Raw genomic sequence first — 27,915 nt, forward strand, 5'->3', positions numbered from 1 at the left:
GAGGGGCCAGGGGTGGTGATTCATGCCTACAGCACTTTGGGTGGCTGAGGCAGGCAGATCACTTGAGGTCAGGAGTTCAAGACCAGCCTGGCCAACATGGTGAAACACCGTCTCTACAAAAATTAGCCAGGCATGGTGGCATGTGCCTGTAATCCCAGCTAGTCAGGAGGCTGAGTCAGGAGAATCACTTGAACCCTGGAGGTGGAGGTTACAGTGAGCCAAGACAACACTGCTGCACTCCAGCCTGGGCGACGGAGTGAGACCCTGTCTCCAGAAAAAAAAAAAAAGAAGAATGGGCAGGAACTCAGTTCCTTGTGGAGGTGAACTATATTCCTATATGTTTCACGTGCAAAGTGTGTCCTTCCTGAGAGAATACAACTTAAGATGCTCCTGTGTAACAATCCCCCATACCTCGCTCATCTGCTATACCTGGATGGCCTCTGAAGGCCATGGGCCTCACACCTTTTGGTCTTAGGACCCCTTTACATTCTGAGAAATTATTGAGGACTCCAAAAAGCTCTTGATAAAGTGGGCTATATCTCTAGTTGCCTGATGTATTAGAAACTGAAACTGGGAAAATATTTTTACTGTTTATTTATTTATTTTTGAGACAGGGTCTCACTCTGTCGCCCAGGCTGGAGTGCAGTGGCGCGATCTCAGCTCACTGCAAACTCCACCTCCCAGTTTCAAGCGGTTCTCCTGCCTTGGCCTCCTGAGTAGCTGGAACTACAGGCGCCCGCCACCATGCCTGGCTAATTTTCATATTTTTAGTAGAGACAGGGTTTCACCGTGTTGGCCAAGCTGGTCTTAAACGCCTAACCTCAAGTGATCCACCCGCCTCAGCCACTCAAAATGCTGTGATTACAGGTGGGCCTGGCCTGCCCACATTTGATAGAAACAGACATAGGGGCTGTTATTTCACTGTCTTCTTAGCTCCCAGGAAGCAACAGCTCTCACTTGATGGTAAAGGGCATTGGTCATTCGGCCTCAATGTTGGGTGTGGGCAGGGAGTGGGAAGGCCCAGGCTGGGCGGGAGAGGGCTCCAAGACACGGCTGCCACACCCAAGGCAGGTAAACCTGACTAGAACTTCTGATTTTGTCAAGAGAAGGTGGGAATTCCTATTTTTATTAGAGATTTCTTGCTTTGACAGTATTGGCAACTGAGCAAAGCAATTTGTCTTTTAACATCAACATTCTGTGAGCCAAACGAAGCCCAGCTGGGCGCCAGATCAGTCTGGGGCACCATCAATGTCTGCCTTCGCTTTGGAATCCACAGAGGCTTGTCCTCTGGGAGGGGAGGTTTCCTGAATGAAAACTGAAGGGATAGGGAGAGGGGAGTTGTGGTGAGCTTGGCCTCTTATTAGCTGTAACATCTTGCATGCATCTTCTTCATATCCGGAGCTCCACCTCCTCATCTGTATTTTTTATTTTATTTTTTTAGTCTGGGTCTTGCTCCATAGCCCAGGCTGAAGTGCAGTGGTGTGATCATGGCTCACTGCAGTCTTGATCTCCCGGGCTCAAGCGATCCTCCCACCTCTGCCTCCTGAGTAGCTGGGACCGCAGGTGCCTATCACCACGCCCCGCTAAAGTTTTGTATTTTGTGTAGAGACGTGGATCTGGCTGTGTTGCCCAGGCGGGTCTCAAACTCATGGCTTCAAATGATCCTCCCACTTCAGCCTCCCAAAATGCTGGGACTACAGTTGTGAGCCACCATGCCTGGCCTCTCCTTACCTTTAAAAGAACAGAGGCACTGGGCGTGGTGGCTCACGCTGTAATCCCAGCACTTTGGGAGGCCAAGGCGGGTGGATCACCTGAGGTCAGGAGTTTGAGACCAGCCTGACCAACATGGTGAAACCCCGTCTCTACTGAAAATACAAAAATTAGCCAGGCGTGTTGGCGCACACCTATAATCTCAGCTACTCTGGAGGCTGAGGCAGGAGAATCGCTTGAACCCAGGAAGCAGAGGTTGCAGTGAACCAAGATCATGCCACTGCACTCCAGCCTGGGTGACAGAACAAGACTCCATCTCAAAAAAAAAAAAAAAAAACAAAAAAGGAACAGAAGCTAAGTCCATACAGGACTTAGCTTAACTGGCTCTAGAGCTGCTCAACCAAGGGAATGAGTGTGAAATTGCTTTGGAAACTGTCCAATGCTTCCTCAATGTAAAGGATTCATATTGACAGGAGAGGGTAGAGGCCTCCCTCCTGGCAGGTGGGAAACCTGAAATCAGGAATTACACTTAATGACACGGGGTGCTCTTCTCTCCTGAGCAAGCAGTTCTCTGGGGTGGTCCTAGAGAGATGGGAGAACATGTAAAGCAGAGATACTCAAATTTCAGCGTGCTCAAAATCTCCTGGAGGGCCTGCAAAAATGCAGATGGGTCCAGGCTCAGTGGCTCAAGCCTGTAATCCCAGCACTTTAGGAAGCTGAGGCTGGAGGATCACTTGAAGCCAGGAGTTCGAGACCAGCCTGGCCAACATGGTGAAAGCCCGTCTCTACTAAAAATACAAAAATTAGCTGGGTGTGGTGGTGCACACGTGTAGTCCCAGCTACTCGGGAGGTTGAGGCACGAGAATTGCTTGAACCTGGGAGGCAGAAGCTGAGGTGAGCTGAGACCTTGCCACTGCACTCTAGCCTGGGTGACAGAATGAGACTCTGTCTCAAAAAAAATTAAATAAATAAAAATAAAATGCAGATGAGGCTGGGCGTGGTGGAGCATGCCTATAATCCCAGTGGTTTACGAGGCTGAGACGGGAGGATTACTTGAGGCCAGGAATTCAAGGCTGCAGTGACCTATGATGGCACCACTGCACTGCAGCCTGGGTGACACAGTGAGACGATGTCTGTAAAACAAATAAACAAATAAACTGCAGATAGCTGGGCCTCCAGAATTTCTGATTCCACAGGTGCAAGGCGGGGCCCTTGACCTTGCATTTTGAGCAAGCTGCAGTCCTGTGGAGGACTGGTTGTGAAGCTGACACCATTGTCTGAGGGCAGCAAAGGCTCTTGGATGGATTGAGCCTCAGCTCCCATCTATGAGAGCTTTAAGCTTTAAGTGAGAGCTCCCCATGGCCGAGAGCTTCATTCTGAATTCCTGCTGCTAGGAATTCAAAACTCACATTGAAGTCCTAACGCCTAGTAGCTCAGAATGTGACCTTAGTTGGAGGCAGGGTCTTCACAGAGGTAATCAAGTTAAAATGAGACGGGAGAATCCTAATCCAATATAACTGGTTTCCTAAATCTGACAGGGTACAGTGACTCACACCTGTAATCCCAGCAGTTTGGGAGGCCAACACAGGAGGACTGCTTGAGATCAGGAATTCAAGACCAGCCTGGGCAATATAGTGAGACCCTGTCTCTAGCAAAAAAAAAAAAAAAAAAAAAAGTGCCAGTAGTCCCAGTTACTATTGAGAGGCTGAAGCAAGAGAGTCGCTTGAATCTGGAGGGTGGAGGTGGCAGTAAGGTATGATTGCACCACTGCATTCCAGCCTAAATGACAAAGCAATACTATGTCTCAAACATAAATAAATAAATAAATAAATAAATAAATAAATAAATAAACGGCAAATCTGGGCAGGGGTGAATACAGGGGGAAGGGAATGTGAAGATGAAGATGCCATACAGAGAAAGGCCCGGAACAGATCCTCACACCCCTCAGAAGGAACCAACACTGCCAGCACTTGATCTTGTTGATCTTGGAATTCAAGCTCAATTCTGGCAGGGTTTTTTGTTTGTTTGTTTGTTTGTTTGTTTGAGTCGGAGTCTTGCTCTGTTGCCCAGCCTGGAGTGCAGTGGCGCAATCTCCGCTCACTGCCAGCCCCGCCTCCCGGGTTCACGCCATTCTCCTGCCTCAGCCTCCTGAGTAGCTGGGACTACAGGCGCCTGCCACCATGCCCGGCTAATTTTTTGTATTTTTAGTAGAGACAGGGTTTCACCGTGTTAGCCATGATGGTCTCGATCTCCTGACCTCGTGATCTGCCCGCCTTGGCCTCCCAAAGCACTGGGAGTACAGGTGTGAGCCACCGTGCATGGCCTCAATTCCGGTTTTTAAGCCACCCAGTTTGTGAAACTTTGTTGTAACAGCCCTGGAAAACTGATACACCTGCTCTCTCGTAAAAGATCAGCTGATACGGCAGCACCGGCCACTGGATCTGCGGGTCAGTTGTCCCCTTAGACAGGGCACCTGCCCGCCAGTCACAGGTCCTGTCACCCAGCCCCTTCCTCTCATGGGCTCCAGCCGCCTCGCTCCCACAGGTCTCCTGGAGACCCGAGTTGCTGATGTCAGCGACTATTGCGAGTGCTCCTGTGGGACACTGTCCTCTCCCCAGCAACAGCCTTCAGTTCACACCCAGGGAGGAGATGGAGCCCCACACTGCACCAGCACACGACTCCAGCTCCAACTAGGTGGGTGTTGATGCTGAAGGCTGTGACATGCAAATACCCCCCAGGATCTCCTTGTCACCCCGACCACCACCACCAAAGCCCAGGCACCAGGCCCCTCTCTTCTCCAGGACCCAGGCATTCAAGCCCCGCCCGACTCTCAATGGTCCTTTGTCCCGGACTGGGAAAGGCACGGGCAGAGTCTGACATCATGAAGCCTGGGGTGGGGGTGGGACTCCCCCTCCCCCTCCAACTCCCCCCCAGCCCCACAACGCTTCTCTCCCTGGTCTGAGGGATTTCCCCGCCCCTCACCCCCTGGGTTCTCCCTTGAGAGCGAGGACCCCCCCTCCCCACTGCTCTGGCCTGAAGGAGGACAGGAGATGTCCCAGTGAGGCTGAACAGCTCATGGTGAAATCACTGCTGCACTTTGTCACGCCACCTCCAGCTGCCCCGAGCCCCCACCCACCTTGCAAAAGTCATGACCAAGGGGTGGAATCTGCACTCAGAGGGTCCTTGCCCAACTTGGTCAGCACAGTCCTATGTGCACCAAGCACTGCCCCGGGGACAGAAGGGTGCACATGACAGACAGAGAGGCAGATAGGTTTCTGGTGAGCCCCTGCCTCTGAGAGCTCCTGGGTTAGTGGGAGGCAGAGGCGGGCAGACCTAGGGTGCACACGGGCCAGCCTGCCAAGGCTACAGAAGGAAAGGACAGCATTGCAATGGAGGGGCCTGGCTGATGGGCGAAGATGGGAAAGCTTCCCAGGGAAGCGGCACCCAGGCTGCTGAGCCTACAGGATGGGTGAACGGCAGCCAGTGCCAGAGTGGGGAGTGCTATGGGGTGGGGACTGCTTTCCAGGAAGAATGAGCAGCAGGTGCACAGGCCTTGAGTCTGAAGGTGCCCTGGGGCTCTGGGGAACACATTCAACCACCCACACTGTTTATTAAGCTCAACTGCCTGCCAGGAGCTTGTCTACGAGCAAGGATGGATTGAGAATATCCAAGACGAAGCTTCTGGCCTGGTGGAGGTCACGTTCTCATGAAAGGAGTTGGTGAACACGGAAGGTCATTTCAGATGGCAAGAGGAGGTGACACTGACGTTGAGGGTGGAAAGGACCTGTCTCCTCCTGCTGCCCACCTAATGTTGCCACCAAGATTCCCTGAGGACAATGCCTCTGTCCCTCAGCCTGGGACTTCCAAAGAGATTAGACTGCCCCCCCACCCCCGGGACCCAGAATCAGGGTGTACAGGGATGGAAGATGGGGAGAGAGCAAGGCAGCCACTCCCGACCCCTCCAGGAAAGAGCTAGGAGAACCCAGGCGTCAGGCTGCCCAGTCCGAGCCCCGTGGTGACAAGGGCCCCTTTGTGCCCCCCTCCCCCGGGGGTAGGGAGGAGCTGGGCCCTGGAGGCAGGCGGCCCCTGGCACCCAGGGGGAGGGGAGGGGCTGGCAAGTGGGGGCCTAGACCCTGGAAGGCAGGGGACTGCGAGCTGGGCTGGCGGAGCAGAGGTGCAGAAGCAACTGAGTCCAAGTGAGTATGGTGGCAGGGAGGCCAGGGCAAGGGGAGCAGGGCACCGGGGCAGTGGCACCCAGACGTGAGCAGGGTCAGGTGCTCTGGGTGAGGGAGCATCGCTGTGCACCGCTACTGATTTAGGATGCAGGAGTGTGTGGCTTGGGGCTGCTTTGGGGATGGGCTCGGACCATCGCTGGGGCAGCGATGGGGCTCTGGGAAGAAACCACAGAGAGAAAAAACAAAGGGCCCCCCCTCAGCACCCCTTGTGGGTGAAGATTTTGCAGGAGAGGTTTCCTTGGGGTTCCCGAGTGCGGGGCAGATGGGGTGGAGGAGGTCTGCATCTGGCCGAAGAATGGAAGGATGTCCAGGTGATCAGACACCTGCAGGCTGCAATCTGGGAGGTGGATGGGGGCAGTGGGCTGTTAGTGACTGCATTCTAGCACCTGGGCACATAGCAGGTGTGTGTGTGTGTGTGTGTGCGTGTGCGTGCACACACATGGCTGCCCATGCACCTTCCTCTGTAAGCCTCAGTCGACTTTTCTTCATTAATCCCCACTAAGGACACTTTTTATTTTTCGTTACTTTTTTTTTTTTAAGAGACGGGACTCTCACTATATTGCCCAGGCTGGTCTCAAACTTCTGGGCACAAGAGATTCTCCCAACTTGGCCTTCCAAAGTGCTGGGTTTACAGGCGTGAGCCACTGCGCCCGGCCCCAACTACAGAAACTTTTTAGATGCATTTGTCCTCATCCCATCCTTCCCTTGGCATTTTAATCCAACAGATCTGCTGTACATATGTTTATGGACTGTGGCCACACACACTGTAATAGCTGAGGTTGATTTGGCCCCCATCCCGAGAACTTGTTTTCCCCGCTGTTAAGAGTGCATGGTCTACCTGCTTGTTTCATGTCTGCCCGGGCACGTGCTCATCCTCATCTGCATCTCTCTCCTGTACCTTCCTGTCACAGGTGCAAGGGCAGCGTCGGCCAGGTGTCCATCGGCGCGTGTCTGAGTGGACGCGTCTATAGCCATCCTCAGTGTGTGTGTGCAGTTCCTTGCATCTTTGTTAGCCTGGCATGCATGCTGGGCTGTGTGTGTGTGTGTGTGTGTGTGCTGAATGCCAGGGCTGTGTCTGTCCAGGTGTGTGTGGACAGCAGCAGAGGCATTGCATGCACGCCTTGGGAACTATGTGAGTGCCAGCCCATCCCTGTGGGCACAGGGGTCCCTGTGCCTGTCTGTGTGTTCAGGGTCCTGTCTGGGTGTCTGTATGAGTCTCCGCTGCGTGTGCCTGCCCCTTCTGGCTGGGGCTACATCTGTCACATTTCATCCCCGCGATTGGATGTGTCTGTGCATGTGTCTCTGTCCGTGGGAAGAGGGCGGTGAAGGCTGGGAAAAGCAATTGCTTGGAAACCCTGGCTGCAACCCCAAGGCAACCCATGGAGCAGCAGGGTGCCAGGGGCTCGCTAGCCCCCACCCTGGGCCTTCCTGGCCCTGCTCAAAGGCCAGCCAGGAGTGCCTGACCCCTTTCTTACTCCCCACTTACCCTGAAAGCCCCCCGCAGGCTAAAACACCCTCTCCCCGAGGGAACAGGACTCTTTTGTACCGGGGACCAGCTTCTGGTGAGGGTGCGGACACCAGGGGCCGTCTGTGGGGTGGGAGAGGGCGGCAGGAATTCACGCGGCATGTCGGGAATGCTGATACTGTGAAACCCAGTCATTGATGGCTCTGGGTCCCTGCCCGCCACCCCCAGGCCCCGGCCGTGGGACATCTGCTCCCTCACTCCACTCGCCACACCCCTCAGTCTCACCCCCGTACCCCGATGCGGTCGTTCCCCCTTCCCTCCCCACAGTTCTCTGACACCCCAGCTTGGAGGGAGTTGTTGCCAGAGAGTGGCTTCGAGGCTGTGTGGGAGGGTCCCAGGCACAATGGGAGGGCCACATGGGCAGCCTGACAACAGGTCACAACCCATGCAGGAGATACTGAAGCGGGGGTGGGTTGGGTGCCTCAATCCCGCCCCCTTGCACCTGAGTGACTCTTGTTGCATGCAGGTTGTCTGGCGGCTTCAGGTGGACCCAGAAGACGTCCCCAACTCAGGGAGATTCAGGTGAGGGGCAGGGTACCAACTCTCTTCCCTTGCTTCAGCTTTGCAATGCTGGCCCTGCCTTGGCTCTCTGGTTCTTACTTTCTGGAGATCTCCAGGGGCATCACGGTGACAAAGATAATGATCAGCACATCATCACTGCATAGAGACAGGACATGCAGCAAAGACTGCAGACCAACTGTGTGGCCTTGGGCGAGTCACTTAACCTCTCTGGACCTCAGCTATAAAATGAGGATAATGCATCTTCCTCAAAGAGATCCAATGAGTTAAGACAGCAGAATAAGCAGTGAGGGCTGGCACATGGCCAATGCCATAGAAGGGTTTATAATTATAAGTAATAGCAGCAGGCTGGGTGAGGTGGCTCATGCCTGTAATCCCAACACTTTGGGAGGCTGAGGCAGGAGGATCGCTTGAGCCAAGGAGTTCAAGACCAGTCTGGGCAACACAGAACATGGCAAGACTCCCATCTCTAAAAAAAATAATAATAATAACCAAATAAATAAACTAAAATAAAATTAGCCAGGCATGGTGGTGTGTACCTGAGGTCCCAGTTACTCTGAAGGATCGCTTAAGCCTGGCAGATTGAAGCTGCAGTTGAGTGAGCCACGATTGCACCACTGCATTCCAGGCTGGGTGACAGGGCTGAGACCCCATCTCAAAAAGTAAAAAGTTAAAAAATATCAGCAGACCAGGCATGGTGATTTACACCTGTAATCCTTTGGGAAGCCAAGGCAGGAATATTGCTGGAGGCCAGGAGTTGAAGACCAGCCTGGGCAACATAGTAAGACCCCACCTCCACAACCATTTCCACAAAAAAGAAGAAAAATTAACTGGGTGTGGGGTGGCGCATACCAGAAGCTGAGACAAGAGGATAACACGAGCTCAGGATTTTGAGGCTATAGTGAGCTGTTATTGTGTCACTGCATTCCAGCCCGGGCAATGAAACAAGACCCTGTCTCAGAAAAATAAGTAAATAAATGCATAAATAAATAATAATAGCAGCAGCAGCTAACATATGAATGGGCCCCTTCCTGAAGCCCAGATGGAACACCCCCTTTCACTTCCCCCAGCCTTTAACCCTCTCCTCTCCCTTTCCAGCGATCACTCACTCGCTGTACAGAATGATATTCCTCACGGCACTGCCTCTGTTCTGGATTATGATTTCAGGTAACGGCTGACAGGTGCTGGGGACCTAAAGGCTTTGGCCCCTGAGCAGGTTGGAGGTGGGTCCCCGCAGCCCCCCGGCATGTGGTTGGGGATGGGAGCCGGAGGGGGTGATCGGGTAGGACGTGTCCCTGAGCCTCAGCTCTCCTGCTTGCCCGCAGCCTCCCGAGGGGGTCACTGGGGTGCCTGGATGCCCTCGTCCATCTCGGCCTTCGAAGGCACGTGCGTCTCCATCCCCTGCCGCTTTGACTTCCCGGATGAGCTGCGGCCCGCTGTGGTGCATGGTGTCTGGTACTTCAATAGCCCCTACCCCAAGAACTACCCCCCGGTGGTCTTCAAGTCGCGCACCCAAGTAGTCCACGAGAGCTTCCAGGGCCGCAGCCGCCTCCTGGGGGACCTGGGCCTGCGAAACTGCACCCTCCTGCTCAGCAACGTCAGCCCCGAGCTGGGCGGGAAGTACTACTTCCGTGGGGACCTGGGCGGCTACAACCAGTACACCTTCTCAGAGCACAGCGTCCTGGATATCGTCAGTGAGTCCCCAGCGGTTGTGCAGGCACCGGGAGCTGGGGCAGCGGGGCGGGAAGGAGTGTGGCCGGAAGGCCTCCCCGCACCTTCCCCAGCAGGCCTGGATGGCAGATCTGGGAGGTGCTGATTTGGCTGGGGGTGCAAACCTCAAGGCCCACGCAGACCATGCAGATGACAGACATGAACAAAGCAGGGCCCCAAAATAGTCTTGCTGCCCTCAGGGGGAAACAGGTGCTGCTACTCTTTTGGAAACACCTGGAGAAAGGCAGTGGGGCCAGGGGGTAGGGGCAAGGCTGCTGGGCCCCCACTTTAGCGTGGTGATCTTGGGCAAGTGACTTAACTTCCTTGGGCCTTGGTTTTCTTTTCCGTAAAATGGGGATAAGAACAGCACTTAAGGCAATGAGTGAAAAGCCATCAGATGCCCAGAGCAGCACCTGGCACGTGGCCCCCAGCTCTGGCCAACAGAAAGCAGGGCGGTGGCTGTCAGGTGTTCTGAATTTTCAAGATAAACCAGAATTTTGGATTCTTTGGTGTAATCTCCTAATTCTTAAATTTTGGTTGCTGATTCAGATTTCTTTTTTTAAAATCCTTTAAGCCAAATAGAATACAGCTATGGCCAGACATGGCAATCAGAATAGGGCACACTGCCTGATTTCAGGGATCCCCCTGCCTCATTTCTGAGTGGCGCTGCTGCTTGGAGTCCTCAGCGCTGAGTCCCTATGAGAGAGCCGGGTTCACCCTGGTGCAGAAAGAGACTGCACAGGTGCAGTACACACACACACCACTCTACAGAAATCACACACTACACACTGCACACTCTACCTACACACTACCCACACACCACACACTACACATACATCACACACTACACAAACCACACACCACACACTGCTCCTGCTACCTACACACTGCCCACACACCAAACATACACATCACACCAAACACACCACACACACACACTACACAAACCACACACCACACACTGCATACACTACACACACACACACTGCTTGGCGCTGAGGACTCCAAGCAGCAGCGCCACTCAGAAATGAGGCAGGGGGATCCCTGAAATCAGGCAGTGTGCCCTATTCTGATTGCCATGTCTGGCCATAGCTGTATTCTATTTGGCTTAAAGGATTTTAAAACCACACACCACACACACACCACACCAAACACACACCACACACACACACCACATTACAAAAACTCACCACACACTACACACACACCACACACACCACACCAAGCACACACCACACACATCACACACTACACAAACCACACACCACACACTTCATACACTACACACACTACCCACACACCACACACACACCACACCAAACACACACACCACACACACACCACACTACAAAAACCACACACCACACACTGCATACGCTACACACACACTACACACACACCACACAAACACCACACCAAACACACACCACACATCCACCACGCTACAAAAACTACACACCACACACTGCACATGCCACACACACACTACCCACACACCACACCAAACACACACCACACACACCACACACACCACACACTACATAAACCACACATCACACACTGCACATACTACCCACGTACCACACACACACCACACACCTCATAAACTACACACCACACACTGCACACACTACCCACACACCACACACACTACACACACTACACACACCACACACATACACCACACACTGCACATGCTACCCACACACCAAACACACACTACACACTACACACTGCACAAACCACACACACACTACACCCTATATACACTGTACACATACATGCGCCACCCCCACATCACAACACAAACCACACACCCCACACACAACAAACATGCACAACACACGCTACACAAACCACACACCACACACACAACACACCAAACACACACCACACACACATACCACACTACAAAAACCACACATCACACACTGCACATGCTACACACACACACCACACCAAACACACACCACACACTACACAAACCACACACCACACACTGCACATACTACCCACGCACCACACACACACCACACACCACATAAACTACACACACAGTGCACACACTACCCACATGCCACACACTACACACACCACACACTACACACACCACATACATACACCACACACTGCACATGCTACCCACACATCAAACACACACTACACACTGCACAAACCACGCACACACTACACCCTATACACACTACACATACATGCACTACCCACACATCACAACACAAACCACACACTCCACACACAACAAACATGCACAACACACACTACAAAAACCACACACTGCACACACACCACACAGTACCCAAACCACACGCCACACACCACACACTCTACCTACACACTACCCACACACCAAATACACACCACACACCAAACACACACCACACAAACCAGACACCATGCACACACCACACACACAAACCACACACTATACCCACCACACACTGCACACACACACCACATACTACAGAAACCACACAACACACACTGCAGACACTACCTCTACACCAAACACACACCATGCGCTACACACAAATTACATGCTACACAAACCACACACACTACACCCTACACACCCTGCACACATACATGCACTACCCACACACCACACACATACCACACACTACACACAGCACACACACACCACACATGATACAAACCACACACCGCATACACACCACATACTACACTCACACCACACAAACCACACCACACACACACCACACACCACACACACCACGTACTACGCAAACCACATACCACACACGACCCAAACTACACAACACCCCACACACACTGCACACATACATGTACTACCCACACATCACACACACACCACACATGACACAGACCACACACCACATACACCACGCTCTACACCCACACCACACAAACCACACATCACACACACAACACACACTGCACACATACCATACACAAAAACCACACACTACACACATACATCACAAACACACCACATACTACACAAACCACACACATCACACTACACACATGCACCACACACCCACACCACACACACACACACACACATACCTACACACACACACACTCACATGCCCGGCGGAGGGTAAACCAAGCAGGCATGGGAGAGGAGAGCCGCTTGGGAAGTGATGAGGTGTGGGGAGCCCACGCTGACGCCAGAGCCACAGGGTTTGTAGCCAGTGTTACCTGGTGCCAGCTGCAGCCTCAGTTTCTTCATCTGCAAAATGAGCAAAATTACAGTCCTCACCCTCTCGCTTTGCGGGAGGGACTGGCAAGTTAAACGCCGTCAAGTGCTCTGGCCACGACACTGTGATTTTCATTACGATGGCGCTCTGGTGGCTCCGTGGAGGGCTCCGGGGTGACCAAGAGGAGGAAGGGTAAAGGGAATTCTGAATCTGGAGGCAGGGAGCGGAGGCGATACCGTTGAGGAGTACCATTGCCAGCAATGGAGGTGGACAAGGAGGAGGGTGGGTGGGGTGGGACCGGGACCGTAGCCCAGTGCTGCTTTCTCAGCCCTCCCTTTCCCCGCCTCGTATAGACACCCCCAACATCGTGGTGCCCCCAGAGGTGGTGGCAGGCACGGAGGTGGAGGTCAGCTGCATGGTGCCGGACAACTGCCCAGAGCTGCGCCCTGAGCTGAGCTGGCTGGGCCACGAGGGGCTGGGGGAGCCCGCTGTGCTGGGCCGGCTGCGGGAGGACGAGGGCACCTGGGTGCAGGTGTCACTGCTGCACTTCGTGCCCACGAGGGAGGCCAACGGCCACAGGCTGGGCTGCCAGGCCTCCTTCCCCAACACCACCCTGCAGTTCGAGGGCTACGCCAGCATGGACGTCAAGTGTGAGCCTGGGTGCGGGCGGGGCGGGGTGGGGCGGGGTGGGGCGGGGTCCGGGGAGGGGGTGGACCTGGGGATGCGGCCGGAGGCGGGGCCGGGCCGTGATGGGGGCGGGGCCATGCCCAGGGCCAGGCAGGGATTGGGGGGTTGGGTGGGACGGGGGCGGAACCAGGCAGTCCTGGGGCGGGGCCAAGGCTGAGGGCGGGGCCGGACAGTGTTGGGGGCGGGGCCGGGCTGGGAGAGGGCACTGGGCCGGTTCCCCAGCACCTGCTCACTAACCTCGCTGTGTCGCGGGCCTTAGACCCCCCGGTGATTGTGGAGATGAACTCCTCGGTGGAGGCCATCGAGGGCTCCCACGTGAGCCTGCTCTGTGGGGCTGACAGCAACCCCCCGCCGCTGCTGACCTGGATGCGGGACGGGACAGTCCTCCGGGAGGCGGTGGCCGAGAGCCTGCTCCTGGAGCTGGAGGAGGTGACCCCCGCCGAAGACGGCGTCTATGCCTGCCTGGCCGAGAATGCCTATGGCCAGGACAACCGCACCGTGGGGCTCAGTGTCATGTGTGAGTGGCCCACTCTGTGCGTCCACACGCCCACCTGCAGCCGAGAGATAAAGGGAAAGGGGCCTCATCCAGGGCGAGCATGGGCTGGGTCCCGAGGGGACCGGCCATAAACAGTCGAGGCCAAGGTAGACAGGGGGGTTGCAAGTCAAGGTGTACCTTCATTCTTTCCACAAGAATCTGGGGAACACCTGCTCTGCCTCATCCTCCTTCCAGGACAAGACCCAGGCCTGCCTCCTAGGGAAGCCTGTTAACTGCAGCTTCCTGGGGGCAGTTCCTGGTTGTTCTGGGACTTGATGTGGGTCTGGTCCCAGGAATCTGCGTTTTACTTTATAAAATTTTTTTGGAGACAAGGCCTTGCTCTGTTGCCCAGTCTGGAATGCAGTGGCACCATGATAGCACCACTTGCCCTCAAACTCCTGGGCTCAAGCAAGCCTACTACCCCAGCCTCCTGAGCAGCTGGGCCTACAGGTGTGCACCACCACACTCCAGGCTAATTTTCAGATTTTTTTTGTAAAGGTGGGATTTTGCTATGTTGCCCAGGCTGGTATCAAACTCTTGGGCTCAAGCAAGCCTCCCACCTCAGCCTGCTGCGCTGCTGGGCCCACAGGCAGGTGCCACCACACCCAGCCAATTTTTCTATTTTTTTATAGAGACAGAGAATCGATATGTTCCCTGGGCTAGTCTTAAACTTCTGGGCTCAAGTGATCCTCCCGCCTCAGCCTCCCAAAGTGCTGGGATTAGAGGCATGAGCCACCGTGCCTGTCCAGGAATCTGCATTTTTAAATGAATTCCATTGTAGTTCTAATGAGAGGGTTGAGGGGACTTCAGGCCTCATCCAGCCCCTTGTATGCACATTTATATTACTGGGCCAGCAAGAAGGGAGCTGGTCAGAAGAGGATTCTTAGCTGAGAACCAAAGAGATACCATTCATTCATTCACAAATGTGTACTGAGGCAAAGTGCCCAGCACTGGGGATATTAATAATGACAGCCGCAGCCAACATTTACTCCACAGCTCTTGAGTGCTTTTTTTTTTTTTTTTTTTTTGAGACAGAGTCTGGCTCTGTCGCCAGGCTGGAAGGCAATGGAGCAATCTTGGCTCACTGCAACCTCCCACTTCCCTGTTCAAGCAATTCTCCTGCCTCAGCCTCCCGAGTAGCTAGAATTATAGGCGCACACCACCACACCTGGCTAATTTTTGTATTTGTAGTAGAGACAGGGTTTCACCATGTTGGCCAGAATAGTCTCAAATTCCTGACCTCGTGATCTGCCCACCTCGGCCTCCCAAAGTGCTGGGATTACAGGCGTGAGCCACCACACTCAGCCTAATTTTTGTATTTTTAGTAGAGACAGGGTTTCACCATGTTGGTCAGGCTGCTCTCGATCTCCTGACCTCAGGTGACCTGCCTACCTCAGCCTCCCAAAGTGCTGGGATTACAGGTGTGAGCCACCACGCTCGGACTCCTGCATGCTTTTGACATGCAATCTTCCCCCCGGCATTCCCCACGGCTGGCTCTGCCCACCTCCTAGGCTCGCTGAAGCCTTCCCCCATCATCCTATCCCAAACTGTAACTACCCTGATTTTCCATACCCTCAGCCCCTTTATTTTTCTCTACACACTTCTTCCCATCTTACAAATTACATATTTTATTTAATTACATCGGCTGTTTCCACATGGGCCTTGTTCAAGCTAGAGCAATGCCTGTCACTCAGCAGGTTCTCAGTGAATGTTGGATGATCACCCCTATGAGGTTGGAACTATTATGAAGCCCATTTTCCAGATGAGAAAAATGAGGCCCAGAGAGGTTAAGATGTGGGTCCACACACAACTGGACAGGGGTAGAGTAGGGATCTGAAGACAAGCATGCTGGCTACCAAGCTGCTGTTCTTGGAAATGAGATAGCCAGGACTGGGGTCACCTGAGCCTTCCTGAACCGGTGTGCTAGGTTTGGGGTGGGATCTGGGGTCATATCTGGGGATGGTAGTTGGCTGGCAGAAGAAGCACCTCCTGGGTTCTGACCATCAGTCCCGTCCTACCCCGCAGATGCACCCTGGAAGCCAACAGTGAACGGGACAATGGTGGCCGTAGAGGGGGAGACGGTCTCTATCTTGTGCTCCACACAGAGCAACCCGGACCCTATTCTCACCATCTTCAAGGAGAAGCAGATCCTGTCCACGGTCATCTACGAGAGCGAGCTGCAGCTGGAGCTGCCGGCCGTGTCACCCGAGGATGATGGAGAGTACTGGTGTGTGGCTGAGAACCAGTATGGCCAGAGGGCCACCGCCTTCAACCTGTCTGTGGAGTGTGAGTACCTTCCGCTCCCCTATGCTGGGGATGGACGGTTCCGTGGGGGACACCAGGGTTACTGTGGGTGCCCACGCATCCCAATCAGTATTGGCTTTGCCTGTCCTCCGCAGAGACAAGGAAGGGAGGGCAGGGAAGCTGAATTCACAGCAGGAAAATAAAATCCCATCTGAGAATATTGTGTTCCCACATCCGGGAGTGGGCTTTTTTTTTTTTTTTTTTTTTTGAGACAGAGTATTGAGTCTTGCTCTGTCACCTAGGCTGGAGTGCAGTGGCAGGATCTCGGCTCACTGCAATTGCTGCCTCCTGGGTTCAAGCAATTCTCCTGCCCCAGCCTCCTGAGTAGCTGGGATTACAGGCGCTCGCCACCACACCTGGCAAATTTTTGTATTTTTAGTAGAGACGGGGTTTCGCCATGTTGGCCTGGCTTGTCTCAAACCCCTGACTTCAGATGATCTGCCTGCCTCAGTCTCCCAAAGTCCTAGGATTACAGGCGTGAGCCACCACGCGCAGCCTGGGGTGGGCTTTTGACCAGTGAAATTTCTGGATCCTGTGGCCACTGCCCCTCTGCACTAACCGAAACAATGACCATGATCTCTAACCTGTGTAGAGTGTCGCTATGTACCAGGCACTGTTGGAAGCGCTGTACAGCAACCCACTCATTTAATCCTCATGACATCTTCATGAGGGAGGTTCTATTACTGTTTCCCTGTTTACGGAGAAGGAAACTGAGACCCAGAGAGGTTATGCCACTTGCCTAAGTTCCCACAGCCAGGAAATGGCAGAATTTGAGGTTTGAATCCAGGCAGTCTGGTTCCATTCTTCTTCCCTGCCCAAGGCTGACCTCATCCTATGTTATGACAGCAGAATACATTGATGGGGTAATTGCTATACACAAAAGGCTGTGCGGCTCTGTGAGAGGTGGAGGATAGGGCTGAGAAGACACCACGCTTATGAACAGGTACAGAATAGCTGGAGAGATGACACAGATGCACATAAAAAGCTACTGTCTTGGAAATGAAACTCACCATTGCACCGCTGGCCAGCGCCTCTCATCTCCTCACTATGGACTGTGCCACCATCTCCCACCACCCCTACCCCCACAGCCATCACTCCAGGTTGTAGCAGCCAAGTCACAGTTTTGACTCCCCTTCCTTAAGCAATTCCCTCTGGAATATCGCCTTCCTGTTTCCATTTCCCCTGCTTCCTCCCAAGTTCCTGTTGGCTTCTAGCACTCCTCCCCAAATTTCACCTCTCTGGTCTTCACGATGCCCACAATGGCCCCCACCACACAAGTTTGCCAGAAGGTTCGATGACATTCAACATGCAAAGAATTCAAAGCAGTGTCTGCTACACAGTACATGCTCTGTGCTGTGTACATGGCGACAATCAGTACATGGCAGATACAGGTTAGTCCTCGGGGGCAACCTCTCGTGGCAAAGCCGTCCCTCTCCTGCTGACCTATAATCTTCAGGCACTTTCCCTCCTGGTTCTGTTCCCTAGCGGGGCTGATGTGATCCTGGCGCGGGGCTGCGTGGTCCCCTGCTCCCTCCAACTGTGCGTGCTATCCTGGGCCAGCTTCCCCCTCTGGTTGTCCCCTGATCCCTGTTACACCCCACACCAGTGATTCTTCAGTTTAAGAGTCAGAGAGAGGAGCCGATGGGAGTACTTGAACAAGCCTGCAGCACCAACTCACATACATTTTCCGGTGGGGTGCAGATCTCTCCTTTATAGTAAGAGCAGCAGGCAGCAAATGCGCGTTAGGGGCCTGCCCTGGGCCAGACCTTGAATCCTCTACAGCTGTTTTCTGGTTCAGTTCTTATTTTTATTATTATTATTATTTTTTTTTTGAGACTGAGTCTCGCTCTGTCACCCAGGCCAGAGTGCAGTGGCACGATCTTGGCTCACTGCAACCTCTGCCTCCCAGATTCAAGCGATTCTCCTGCCTCAGCCTCCCAACTAGCTGGGATTACAGGCATGCGTCACCATGCCCAGCTAATTTTTTATTTTTAGTAGAGACGGGGTTTCTCCATGTTGCCCAGGCTGTTCTCCAACTCCTAGTCTCAAGTGATCCACCCGCCTCGGCCTCCCAAAGTGCTGGGATTACAGGTGTGAGCCACCATGCCCAGCCTATCTGGCTCATTTTCAATTCTAGGGTCACCCTGTGAAACAGGGGTGTGTTATAATTATCCCCTTTACCAAGGAGAAAACTCAAGGGCGGAATTCCCTGAGGCCAGGCAGCTATAAAAGTGGGTCCGAGCCCGATAATTCCAGACTCCTGTCTGCCCCAGCTGTTAAACCTCTGGCTGCCTCACCTCCCTCACAGCTCTTAGCACTCTAGGACTCAATCCGGCTTCTCTTGAAAACGAACACGCAGGCAGATGTGGAGTGTGCAGGCCTCACCTGCTAGACTTGAGGGGAGCAGTGGCCCTGTCCCCTGCCCCACCTGCCAGCTCCCTACTCTTCACCCAGGCCTGTGTCAAAGTGCTTGCCCTTGGAGAGTGCGACCCTCAGGCCCCCTCCCTCTCCACACAGTCAATGTTCCCTGGCACCAGGTCTCCAATGTTCACTGACAGTGGTGGTGACCCTTGAGCAGGGCCTTCTGTCTTACCTGCCAACCCCAGAGCCCTGAACGGCACGGGGCATGCAGGAAGTGTGCAACCTTACCGAGTGCCTGAGATGTCTAGGGAACTAGCTTGAGTACGTTGTACGCATTGACCTATTTTGTTCTTACAACCATGTGATTGAGGGGAGGGTACCATTCTTCAACCCAGTTTAATACAAGGAAACAGAAGTTTGACTGGCATCCAGTCCCAACAGGGCTGAACAGACCTGGGCTAGAATCCCAGCTCTGTCCCCATCCTCCTGCCTGAGCTCAGGCGAGTGACTTCAGCTTTGCAACCCTTAGCAAGGGTTCATAACAGTATCTTACCACAAAGATGGCTGTGAGAACTAAGAGAATTAGGCTGGGCGTGGTGGCCCACACCTGTAGTCCCAGCACTTTGGGAGGCTGAGACAGTTGGATCACTTGAGGCCAGGAGTTCGAGACCAGCCTGACCAACCTGACAAAACCCCATCTCTACTAAAAATACAAAAATTAGCCAGGCGTGATGGCGCACACCTGCAGTTCCAGCTACTCAGGAGGCTGAGGCAGGAGAATCGCTTGAGCCCGGGGGGTGGAGGTTGCAGTGAGCTGAGATGGAGCCAGTGCACTCCAGCCTGGATGACAGAGCAAGACTGTCCCAGCCCCCCACTCCAGCCTGGATGACAGAGCAAGACTGTCCCACCCCCCCACTCCAGCCTGGATGACAGAGCAAGACTGTCCCATCCCCCCACTCCAGCCTGGATGACAGAGCAAGACTGTCCCACCCCCCTACTCCAGCCTGGATGACAGAGCAAGACTGTCCCATCCCCCCACTCCAGCCTGGATGACAGAGCAAGACTGTCCCACCCCCACACTCCAGCCTGGATGACAGAGCAAGACTGTCCCACCCCCCCACTCCCCCACAAAAAAGAAGAACTAAGAGAACAATACTGAGTGTTCATAGTGCTACATACTCTGTGGATATTGGATGTCATCATCTTTCTCACTGATTTTTCCTTTGGACTCCAGGTTAAATATTTGTTGTGTGTTTTGCTGCTGAGGTTTTGCTCATGTGACCTCTCTGCGGGAATGGTTCTGTCTATCCACCCATGAGTACTTGGGTGGGATGTTACGTATTTTTAATTTTAATTTTTTATTTTTTTGAGACAGGGTCTTGCTCTGTTGCCCAGGCTGGAATGCAGTGGTTTGATCATCGCTCACTGCAGCCTCAACCTCCTGGGCTCAACTGATTCTCACACTTCAGCCTCCTGAGTAGCTGGGACTACAGGCACACATCACCATGCCCAGTTAATGTTTTAATTTTTTGTAGAGATGGGGTCTTGCTCTGTTGCCCAGGCTGGTCTCAAACTCCTGGGCTCAAGTGATCCTCCTGCCTTGGCCTCCCAAAGTGCTGGAATGACAGGTGTGAGCCACTGCACCCGGCTGGGATGTTAAGTGTTTACAACACACTTGCGCGCCTATCTTCGGAGTCCCGTAGCCCCTTGTGAGTTACTGACTGTAACCCCCTGGTTTGCACAGATGAGAACTCCATCCTAGAGGCCCAGGAGCCTGAGTGGCCTCACCCAGCCAGTAGATGGCAGAGCTGGGATTCAAGCCAAATCCATCCCACCACAAACTCCTCATTCTTTGTACCTTTGTCTTACAGGTTTGTCTAGAGTCCCATAACAGTTTCCGCAGCTTCACAGGTTGTCTGAAAAGATACTAAGCACGTGCACCGGCAGGGTGTCGGCGTTCCGCCGACATCCAGGTCGAACACTTTGTCACCAGAGCACCAGTGGGGCTGTCTTGAGTGGAAGTGCTTTGAAAAAGTTTTATGTCTGTCGGTTCAGGTTCGCTGTTATTAATGTACTCCGTGGCGTGTTAGCTGGTTAACGCTATAGCAAGCATATTGCAGCTCTGCCCGAACAGGACTTTTTATTCAGTAGACTTAGAGATGTTTGCACAGAGGTTCCCATTCCTGCCGTGAATCCGTGTGCCCGTGTGACTCCCAGGTCCACCACCGTTACCGGCACATTCTTTTTGCTAGCAATTGAAAATAGGTGGGGTAGGTGAGCCAAGGGTCTCTTGCCTGTGTGTAAGTGGGTTTTGGTGAGAACTCACTGAGAACCAGTGCTCAGTCTAGAGCAAGCCAAGGAGGGTGCTGGACTCTCAGGCCAAGAAAGAGAACACAGTTTAAAAAGCAGCATTCTGTGCTGTAATACAATTGCGTATTTTGGTACAAAAATTAGCCAGGCATGGTGGCACGCACGTGTAGTCCCAGCTACTCAAGAGGCTGAGGCAGGACAATCACTTGAACCTGGGAGGCAGAGGTTGCAGTGAGCAGAGATCGTGCCACTGCACTCCAGCCTGGGCGACAGAGAGACTCCGTCTCAAAAATCATAGTAATAACAATAATAATAATAATAATTTCCTGTTTTGGAAAATGAAAGAAAAAACCTACCAGTACTATTTTTGTAATCCAGTGGCAGCAAAGCAAAGCTCAACCAAGTGACTTTGGGTGGAGGGTGGTGTTTGGTGCTAGTGGCAGGAGGGAATCTCATGGGTGAGGAAGGGCCGGGGTTCAAGGCGGCTTTAGGGGAGGAAGTGGGGGGCATCTGCAGCGCAGACTGAAAGGAAGGAGCACAGCCTGGAAGCCAGAAAGGAGGGGATAGTCTAAGCCTGTGTGAGCCCCAAGGGTCTGGGGAGGCCGGGGGCTGGGAGAGTTCCATGGTTCCTCCCTTCTACGTGTGGGGCCCAGAGTGGAGAAGGAGCAAGCCCCTGTCTTGATGGAAACAGGAGGCCCCTTATGTAAGTGTGTGATGCAGGGAGGGTGAGTGCTGGGGAGGAGAACTGAGTGAGGCAGGGAGTGAATGATACGTGGAGCGAGGTGCAGCTTCCCTGGGTGGTCAGAGAAGGAGACGCCGCATGGGTAGAGGCCAGTTTGGAGCGAGGGAGGGCGTTCCACAGGCAACTGATGGAAGTGTTCCAAGTTGAGGGAGAAACGTACAGACCCTGGAGTGGGAGAAAGCTCCACGATTTTCAGACACAGCAAGGAACCGGTGTGGCTGGAAAGGACTAAGCCAGGGGGAGAGAAGGAGAGAGTGTGTGGTCAGGCAGGGCCTGAGGGGCCTTGTAGATGAAAGACTTTGTATTTTGGGCTGGGCACAGTGGCTTGCGCCTTATAATCCCAGCACTTTGGGAGGCCAAGGCAGGAGGATTGCTTGAGCTCAGGAGTTCAAGACCAGCATGGGGAACATAGCAAGACCCTGTCTCTACAAAAACAAACAAAAACCCTCCAGTAACTATCATGAGTATGACAGATTTACCGTCCTCTGCAATTCTGAACATAAAGCTTTAAAATCAAAAGGCTTTTTGCAAATTTGGCACCACCCTGATTTGACAGCAAAATCTCGCCTAAAGAACACAAGGCTGTTTGTAATCTATACTGATTTCATTTAGGGTGAATATTCGTACTTTTTGCTGTATACATTACATTGAACTATGTGAAATTTTTTCTGCATGTCAAAAATGGTCAAATGTGGCTGGGCGCAGTGGCTTATGCCTGTAATCCCAGCACTTTGGGAGGCTGAGGCGGGAGGATCACTAGAGGCCAAGAGTGCAAATGAGCTATAGTACTGCCACTGCACTTCAGCCTGGGCGACAGGGCCAGACCCTGTCTCTAAACGATAAAAAATAAAGGATTTGTATTTTAGGTGAACCACGGAGCAACAGAAGGAGGGTTTTGAGCAGAGAGTGCCATGATCTGATTTATGTATTACAAGGTGAATGAGGTTAGAGAGAGTGTAAGAGCCAGGGCCCAGGAGAAACGGCCCGTCCCTGTGACATAGTGCTCTGTCCAGGCTGAAGCTGAGGCTAGAGTCGCCTCAAAAGTGGCACCAGAAGAATTGCCCCAAGAGAGCACCCCAAACCACCCCGAAATGAGGCCACTTGGGATTCCAAAGAGAGAGGCACTAAACCACCAGGTGATCATCAGTCCAAAGCATTTGGGAGGGGAACTTGCACAGTGCTACGGCGAGAGAAAGGGAGGGTCTACCCAGACACGTCCGTGAGGGTCAGGGTATGGGTTTACATGAGGGTTTAAGGAATTTGGCCCAGGGCTGGGGCTGGTTTCTTTCATTCTTTCATTTTTGTTGTTGTTGTTGTTTGGGGTTTTTTTGAGACAGCGTCTCATTCTGTAACCTCTCGTACTCCTGACCTCAAGTGATCCACTCACTCTTCGGCCTCGCAAAGTGCTAGGATTACAGCAGTGAGCCACCATGCCCGGCCTCTTTCAGTGTTTTGAGCAACAACCTAAACACCTTTATCAGTGCCTGGGAATGTTCAAGGCCCCAGGCGTGGGTTAGTGAAGCTTGCAGTGAAAACAGGCAGCCGGCGGGGTCGTAGTGAGGTCAAGGCGCTCTCAGTCAGGACAGAGAAAAAAGGAGGGGAAATTGGAGGGCCCTACAGGAAGCTACCGCCCCCATCCTTGGCCACACTGGCCTTGCCTTGAGCCAAGGAGTCTCCGGGGCCGGGCCTCGCGTTGGCTCCGGGCCACCCTCAGACCTGATTTTGCCCCTGCAGTCGCCCCTGTGCTCCTCCTGGAGTCCCACTGCGCGGCAGCCCGAGACACGGTGCAGTGCCTGTGCGTGGTGAAGTCCAACCCGGAGCCGTCCGTGGCCTTTGAGCTGCCATCGCGCAATGTGACCGTGAACGAGAGCGAGCGGGAGTTCGTGTACTCGGAGCGCAGCGGCCTCGTGCTCACCAGCATCCTCACGCTGCGGGGGCAGGCCCAGGCCCCGCCCCGCGTCATCTGCACCGCGAGGAACCTCTATGGCGCCAAGAGCCTGGAGCTGCCCTTCCAGGGAGCCCGTGAGTGGCGTGGACTTGGGGTGGGAGCCACAGGAGGGAGCGGGCACGTCTTAGATCCAAGCTCCCAAGGCTGACCAACAGCCACAGAGCATGGGCTATGCAGATTGACAGAAAGGTCAAATTCTCCCTTTCCGGTTGGAGAGGAGAAGCCGCCCTGAGTTTGCCCCGAGTTTGCTAGGACCTTTGAGGCATGAGCCCCTCCCCAGGGCCCTCTAGCATGAAAGGGATTGCCCTGGCACGAGGAGGCTCCGTGCCAATCAGTCAGTGCAAGGATGCCCCGGCTGTGTGACTACATTGACTGTCATCCCAGCATGTCTCCAAAGTTCTCAGGTGTCGTCACCACCACCCATAGCCCTAAGGGCGCCTGGGTCTTTTCTGTCCTCAGATCGACTGATGTGGGCCAAGATCGGGCCTGTGGGCGCCGTGGTCGCCTTTGCCATCCTGATTGCCATCGTCTGCTACATTACCCAGACACGCAGGAAGTGAGTGCCAGCTGGGGCTGATCTGGGGATGGGAGTCTCCAAAAAGGGGACCTGGTGGGAGATGGAGGCCCAGAGTGGGTGGGGGAAGGCAGCACCATAAGTGTAGAGAAGGCAGATTCTGTTCTGGGAATGTTCAGCTGGACAGAGGAGAGAGGGTTCCTGTTAATTCCAGCCCCTGCTGGTCAGGGGCACACCAGGGCCTGGGCTGAGCCCTTTACACACATCATTTGAGACCTGTTTGCCCACATTCTATTTTGACAGCCTCCCTATCTCTAGGAACTCTCCCCTACACACTCCAGTGTGGTGGGGAAAGCCCAGGTACCCCACTGCAGCCACAGCAGCAGGTCCACTTGACGCCAGAAGCCCCAAAGATTACACACATCTGGGGCAAAAAAAAAATAGGCCTTGGCCGGGCGCGTTGACTCACGCCTGTTATCCCGCACTTTAGGAGGCCAAGGAGGAAGGATTGCTTGAGGCCAGGAATCTGACACCAGCCTGGGCAACATAGCAAGACCACATCTCTAAAAAAAATTTTTTTTTAATTAGCCAGGCATGGTGGCACACACTGTAGTCCCAGCTACTTGGGAGGCTGAGGTGGAACGATTCTTGAGCTCAGGAATTAGAGGCCAGCCTGGGCAACATAGGGAGACCCCATCTACAAAAAAACAAAAAAATTAGCTACTAGTGGCACGTGCCTGTTGTCCCAGCTACTCGGGAGGCTGAGGAGGGAAGATCGCTTGAGCCTGGGAGGTTGAGGCTGTAGTGAGCTATGATTTCACCACTGTACTCCAGCCTAGGTGACAAAGAGAGACCCTGTCTCTAAAAACAAACAAACAGACAGACAGACAGACAGAAAGCCTCTCCAGCCCCAAACCATACCCACCTGGCCCAACTCAGCTGCAGCCGTGTTTCTTTCTTGTGGCACACACACATCAGCTGTCCTGAGAAATAAATTAACCCCTCTGCTCCACATCCTGGTGGCAAGAGGGGCAGAAAGACCCAGAGCCTATGAGGGGAACCTGGAGAATCCAGGTGGGGGTCCTGAAAAACGGCAGAGCTCAGGGGCCAGGTGGCTCGTCCCCAGCCGGGCAGGGGCCACAGAGGTGGGAAGGATGGGCTGTGTGGGTAGGAGAGGCTGGTGGTTCTGAAAGGGCTGCTTGCCACATCTTAGAGATGGGTGGGAGAACTCTGAGGTCCCCTGAGCCAAACTCCTAAAACACGTGGGGGTGCAGAAAGGGAGGGCAGAGAGAGGTCTGACGAGTCCTGCCCTGCAGAAAGAACGTGACAGAGAGCCCCAGCTTCTCGGCAGGGGACAACCCTCCCGTCCTGTTCAGCAGCGACTTCCGCATCTCTGGGGCACCAGAGAAGTACGAGGTAAGGACCAGGCTCCAGGCTGGCCTGGGAACCTGGATGCCAGGGACACTGAAGGCCTGGGAAAGGCCTGTGAGGCCAAGGGGCAGGGGAGTGGGAGCGGCCTCTCACAGGAGGAGAGGAAGGACATTCCAGGGCTGGGTTGGACCTGGAGGCTGGGGAGGAGGTGCCCAGGCCGAAGCTGTGTAGGGGGCGATGGGACGTGGGGCCTAAGGGCCCCCTCCCCTCCCTGCCTGTGTCTGTGACTGCATTTCCTTCTCCAATAGTCCAAAGAGGTTTCTACCCTGGAATCTCACTGAGTGCCCCAGGAGGTAGGTTCCGGGGGCCTCAGTGTGCCCTCCTCTGGGCCCTCCTTGGGCCCTGGGGTTGGCGTGCATGTCCGTGTGTCCCTGTCAGGCGTCAAGGTGGTCTCTGGTGATGTCCGGGCCTGCCCGGCAGTGCTGGCCTTGTCTAGTCTGTCCTGTTGCAGCTCCCTTCTGTCTGTGGCCACCGTCCTGTGTGTCCAAATTCCTGTGGCTAGGGGGTGGAGGGAGGGGTGGGAAGCGTGGGGGGAACCCACATGTCACCTGCAGGACCTCCCAGATTGAGGGCGGACCCATGCAGGACCCATGGGGGGGCACGTACCAAACCAGGTATTTCCAGGAATTTGGAAAGATGGGGTCCTGACTAGGTGGTTTTCACCCAAAAAGGTATTAGGGGTTACATTGTGTGCCCTCAAAACTCCTATGTTGAAAGCTTCCTGGACGGGGGCAGTGGCTCACACCTGTAATCCCACAACTTTGGGAATCTGAGGCGGATGGATCACTTGAGGTCAGGAGTTTGAGACCAGCCTGGCCAACATGGTGAAACCCTGTCTCTACTAAAAATACAAAAAATTAGCCAGGCGTGTTGGCAGGTGCCTGTAATCCCAGCTACTTGGGAGGCTGAGGCAGGAGAATTGCTGGAACCCAGGAAGTGGAGGCTGCAGTGAGCAAAGATCGAGCCATTGCAATCCAGCCTGGGTCTCAAAGAAAAAGAAGAAGAAGAAGCAGCTTCCTGGAGAAACTGAATTTGTAGGCAAATTTCAAGTTCAGCAATGATTAACACTGGCAGAAGCTCCAGAGTGGGACCTGGTGACCGCAGGGCTCGCTGGGCCTGCGGTCCTTGAGAAAGGAGGTTCTCGCAGGGATTTATTTGGGACTGAACTCAGGAGCTCTGAGGGTGCAAACGCTCTGTCCTCTGCATTGGGAAAAGGCAGGGAGCAGGACCCTGCTAATGGGCGGTTTCCCCTCTTAGAGCGAGAGGCGCCTGGGATCTGAGAGGAGGCTGCTGGGCCTTCGGGGTGAGCCCCCAGAGCTGGACCTGAGCTATTCTCACTCGGACCTGGGGAAACGGCCCACCAAGGACAGCTACACGCTGACGGAGGAGCTAGCTGAGTATGCTGAAATCCGGGTCAAGTGAAGGAGCTGGGGGCAGCCTGCGTGGCTGACCCCCCTCAGGACCCTCGCTGGCCCCCACTGGCTGTGGGCTCCCTTCCTCCCAAAAGTATCGGGGGCTGGGGCAGGAGGGGAGTGAGGCAGGTGACAGTGAGGTCCTGGGGGCCTGACCTCCCCCTCCTTCCCAGCTGCCCCTCCCTGCCAGCACCCCCACGCCCTCATTACGGCTCCTCTCTAACCTCCTTTACCCTCATCTGTCTGGAGGGGAGCTCTGTCTGTCCGTGTTATTTATTGCTACTTCCTGCCTGGTCTCCTGCCCCCACACCTGGCCCTGGGGCCTGTACAAAAGGGACATGAAATAAATGCCCCAAAGCCAAATGCCAGTCTAGATCCTGATGCTTTCTGACCCGCCTTTGGGCAGCCTGCCATCCCACCGTCTACAGAACGATGACAGAATTTCTCCTTGCCCTCGGCTGAGCCTGGTATGCAGGCAAGGGCCCAGGGATTTTAGCCTTGAACCCAGGGCCAGTGGCCACTAAGTTGCTCCCACTCTGAGCTGGTAGCTGCGAGCTGGGTCTGGTTTGACTTATGGATGATTTCACATAAAAATCCTCATGCTGGTTTTTGCCGCAGTCAGATCAGCTGACAGCACCAGGCTTGCACTTGTACGTGGACATGACTTGCTGAAAGGGAGGGTCCTGTGCACTGGCCGCAGTCCCCACCACTCCCTATTGTCCCACACCTGGCCGGCTTCCTGCACTGAGATTACCTCCTGGTCCCTGCA

The 27,915-nt window shown here is 54.1% G+C and overlaps 1 protein-coding gene across 3 annotated transcripts, besides 5 other annotated features; it reads left to right on the top strand.

The window, feature by feature from the left end:
• MAG (myelin associated glycoprotein) lies at nt 5,863–27,509 on the top strand. 3 transcript variants are annotated; one of them, NM_080600.3, is made up of 12 exons: nt 5,863–5,906; nt 7,937–7,992; nt 9,088–9,156; nt 9,315–9,683; nt 13,256–13,552; nt 13,849–14,106; nt 16,150–16,410; nt 23,576–23,863; nt 24,249–24,345; nt 25,620–25,719; nt 25,983–26,027; nt 26,992–27,509. In NM_080600.3, exons 3-11 carry the CDS (start codon nt 9,111–9,113, stop codon nt 26,013–26,015), a joined length of 1,749 nt encoding a protein of 582 aa, NP_542167.1. In that variant the 5' UTR covers nt 5,863–5,906; nt 7,937–7,992; nt 9,088–9,110; the 3' UTR covers nt 26,016–26,027; nt 26,992–27,509. The 3 variants fall into 3 exon arrangements, with proteins under 3 accessions (NP_542167.1, NP_002352.1, NP_001186145.1); NM_002361.4 differs by lacking the exon at nt 25,983–26,027; NM_001199216.2 differs by lacking the exons at nt 9,088–9,156; nt 25,983–26,027 and adding an exon at nt 9,157–9,212.
• Nucleotides 10,331–10,440: an enhancer, noted in NCBI's record as "active region_14465". NCBI's record gives its function as "activates an Ori minimal core promoter by ATAC-STARR-seq in GM12878 lymphoblastoid cells {active_cell/tissue: GM12878}" and the evidence as "EXISTENCE:reporter gene assay evidence [ECO:0000049][PMID:35858748]".
• Nucleotides 10,571–10,640: an enhancer, noted in NCBI's record as "active region_14466". NCBI's record gives its function as "activates an Ori minimal core promoter by ATAC-STARR-seq in GM12878 lymphoblastoid cells {active_cell/tissue: GM12878}" and the evidence as "EXISTENCE:reporter gene assay evidence [ECO:0000049][PMID:35858748]".
• Nucleotides 18,432–19,319: an enhancer, noted in NCBI's record as "H3K4me1 hESC enhancer chr19:35795633-35796520 (GRCh37/hg19 assembly coordinates)". NCBI's record gives its function as "activates a minimal SCP1, AML or CMV promoter by ChIP-STARR-seq in primed H9 embryonic stem cells {active_cell/tissue: H9 hESC(primed)}" and the evidence as "EXISTENCE:reporter gene assay evidence [ECO:0000049][PMID:30033119]".
• Nucleotides 25,148–25,649: an enhancer, noted in NCBI's record as "H3K4me1 hESC enhancer chr19:35802349-35802850 (GRCh37/hg19 assembly coordinates)". NCBI's record gives its function as "activates a minimal SCP1, AML or CMV promoter by ChIP-STARR-seq in naive H9 embryonic stem cells {active_cell/tissue: H9 hESC(naive)}" and the evidence as "EXISTENCE:reporter gene assay evidence [ECO:0000049][PMID:30033119]".
• Nucleotides 25,650–26,149: an enhancer, noted in NCBI's record as "H3K4me1 hESC enhancer chr19:35802851-35803350 (GRCh37/hg19 assembly coordinates)". NCBI's record gives its function as "activates a minimal SCP1, AML or CMV promoter by ChIP-STARR-seq in naive H9 embryonic stem cells {active_cell/tissue: H9 hESC(naive)}" and the evidence as "EXISTENCE:reporter gene assay evidence [ECO:0000049][PMID:30033119]".

The sequence above is a fragment of the Homo sapiens genome, chromosome 19, assembly GCF_000001405.40.
Source record: "Homo sapiens chromosome 19, GRCh38.p14 Primary Assembly".
NCBI classification, from domain to species: Eukaryota; Metazoa; Chordata; class Mammalia; order Primates; family Hominidae; genus Homo; species Homo sapiens.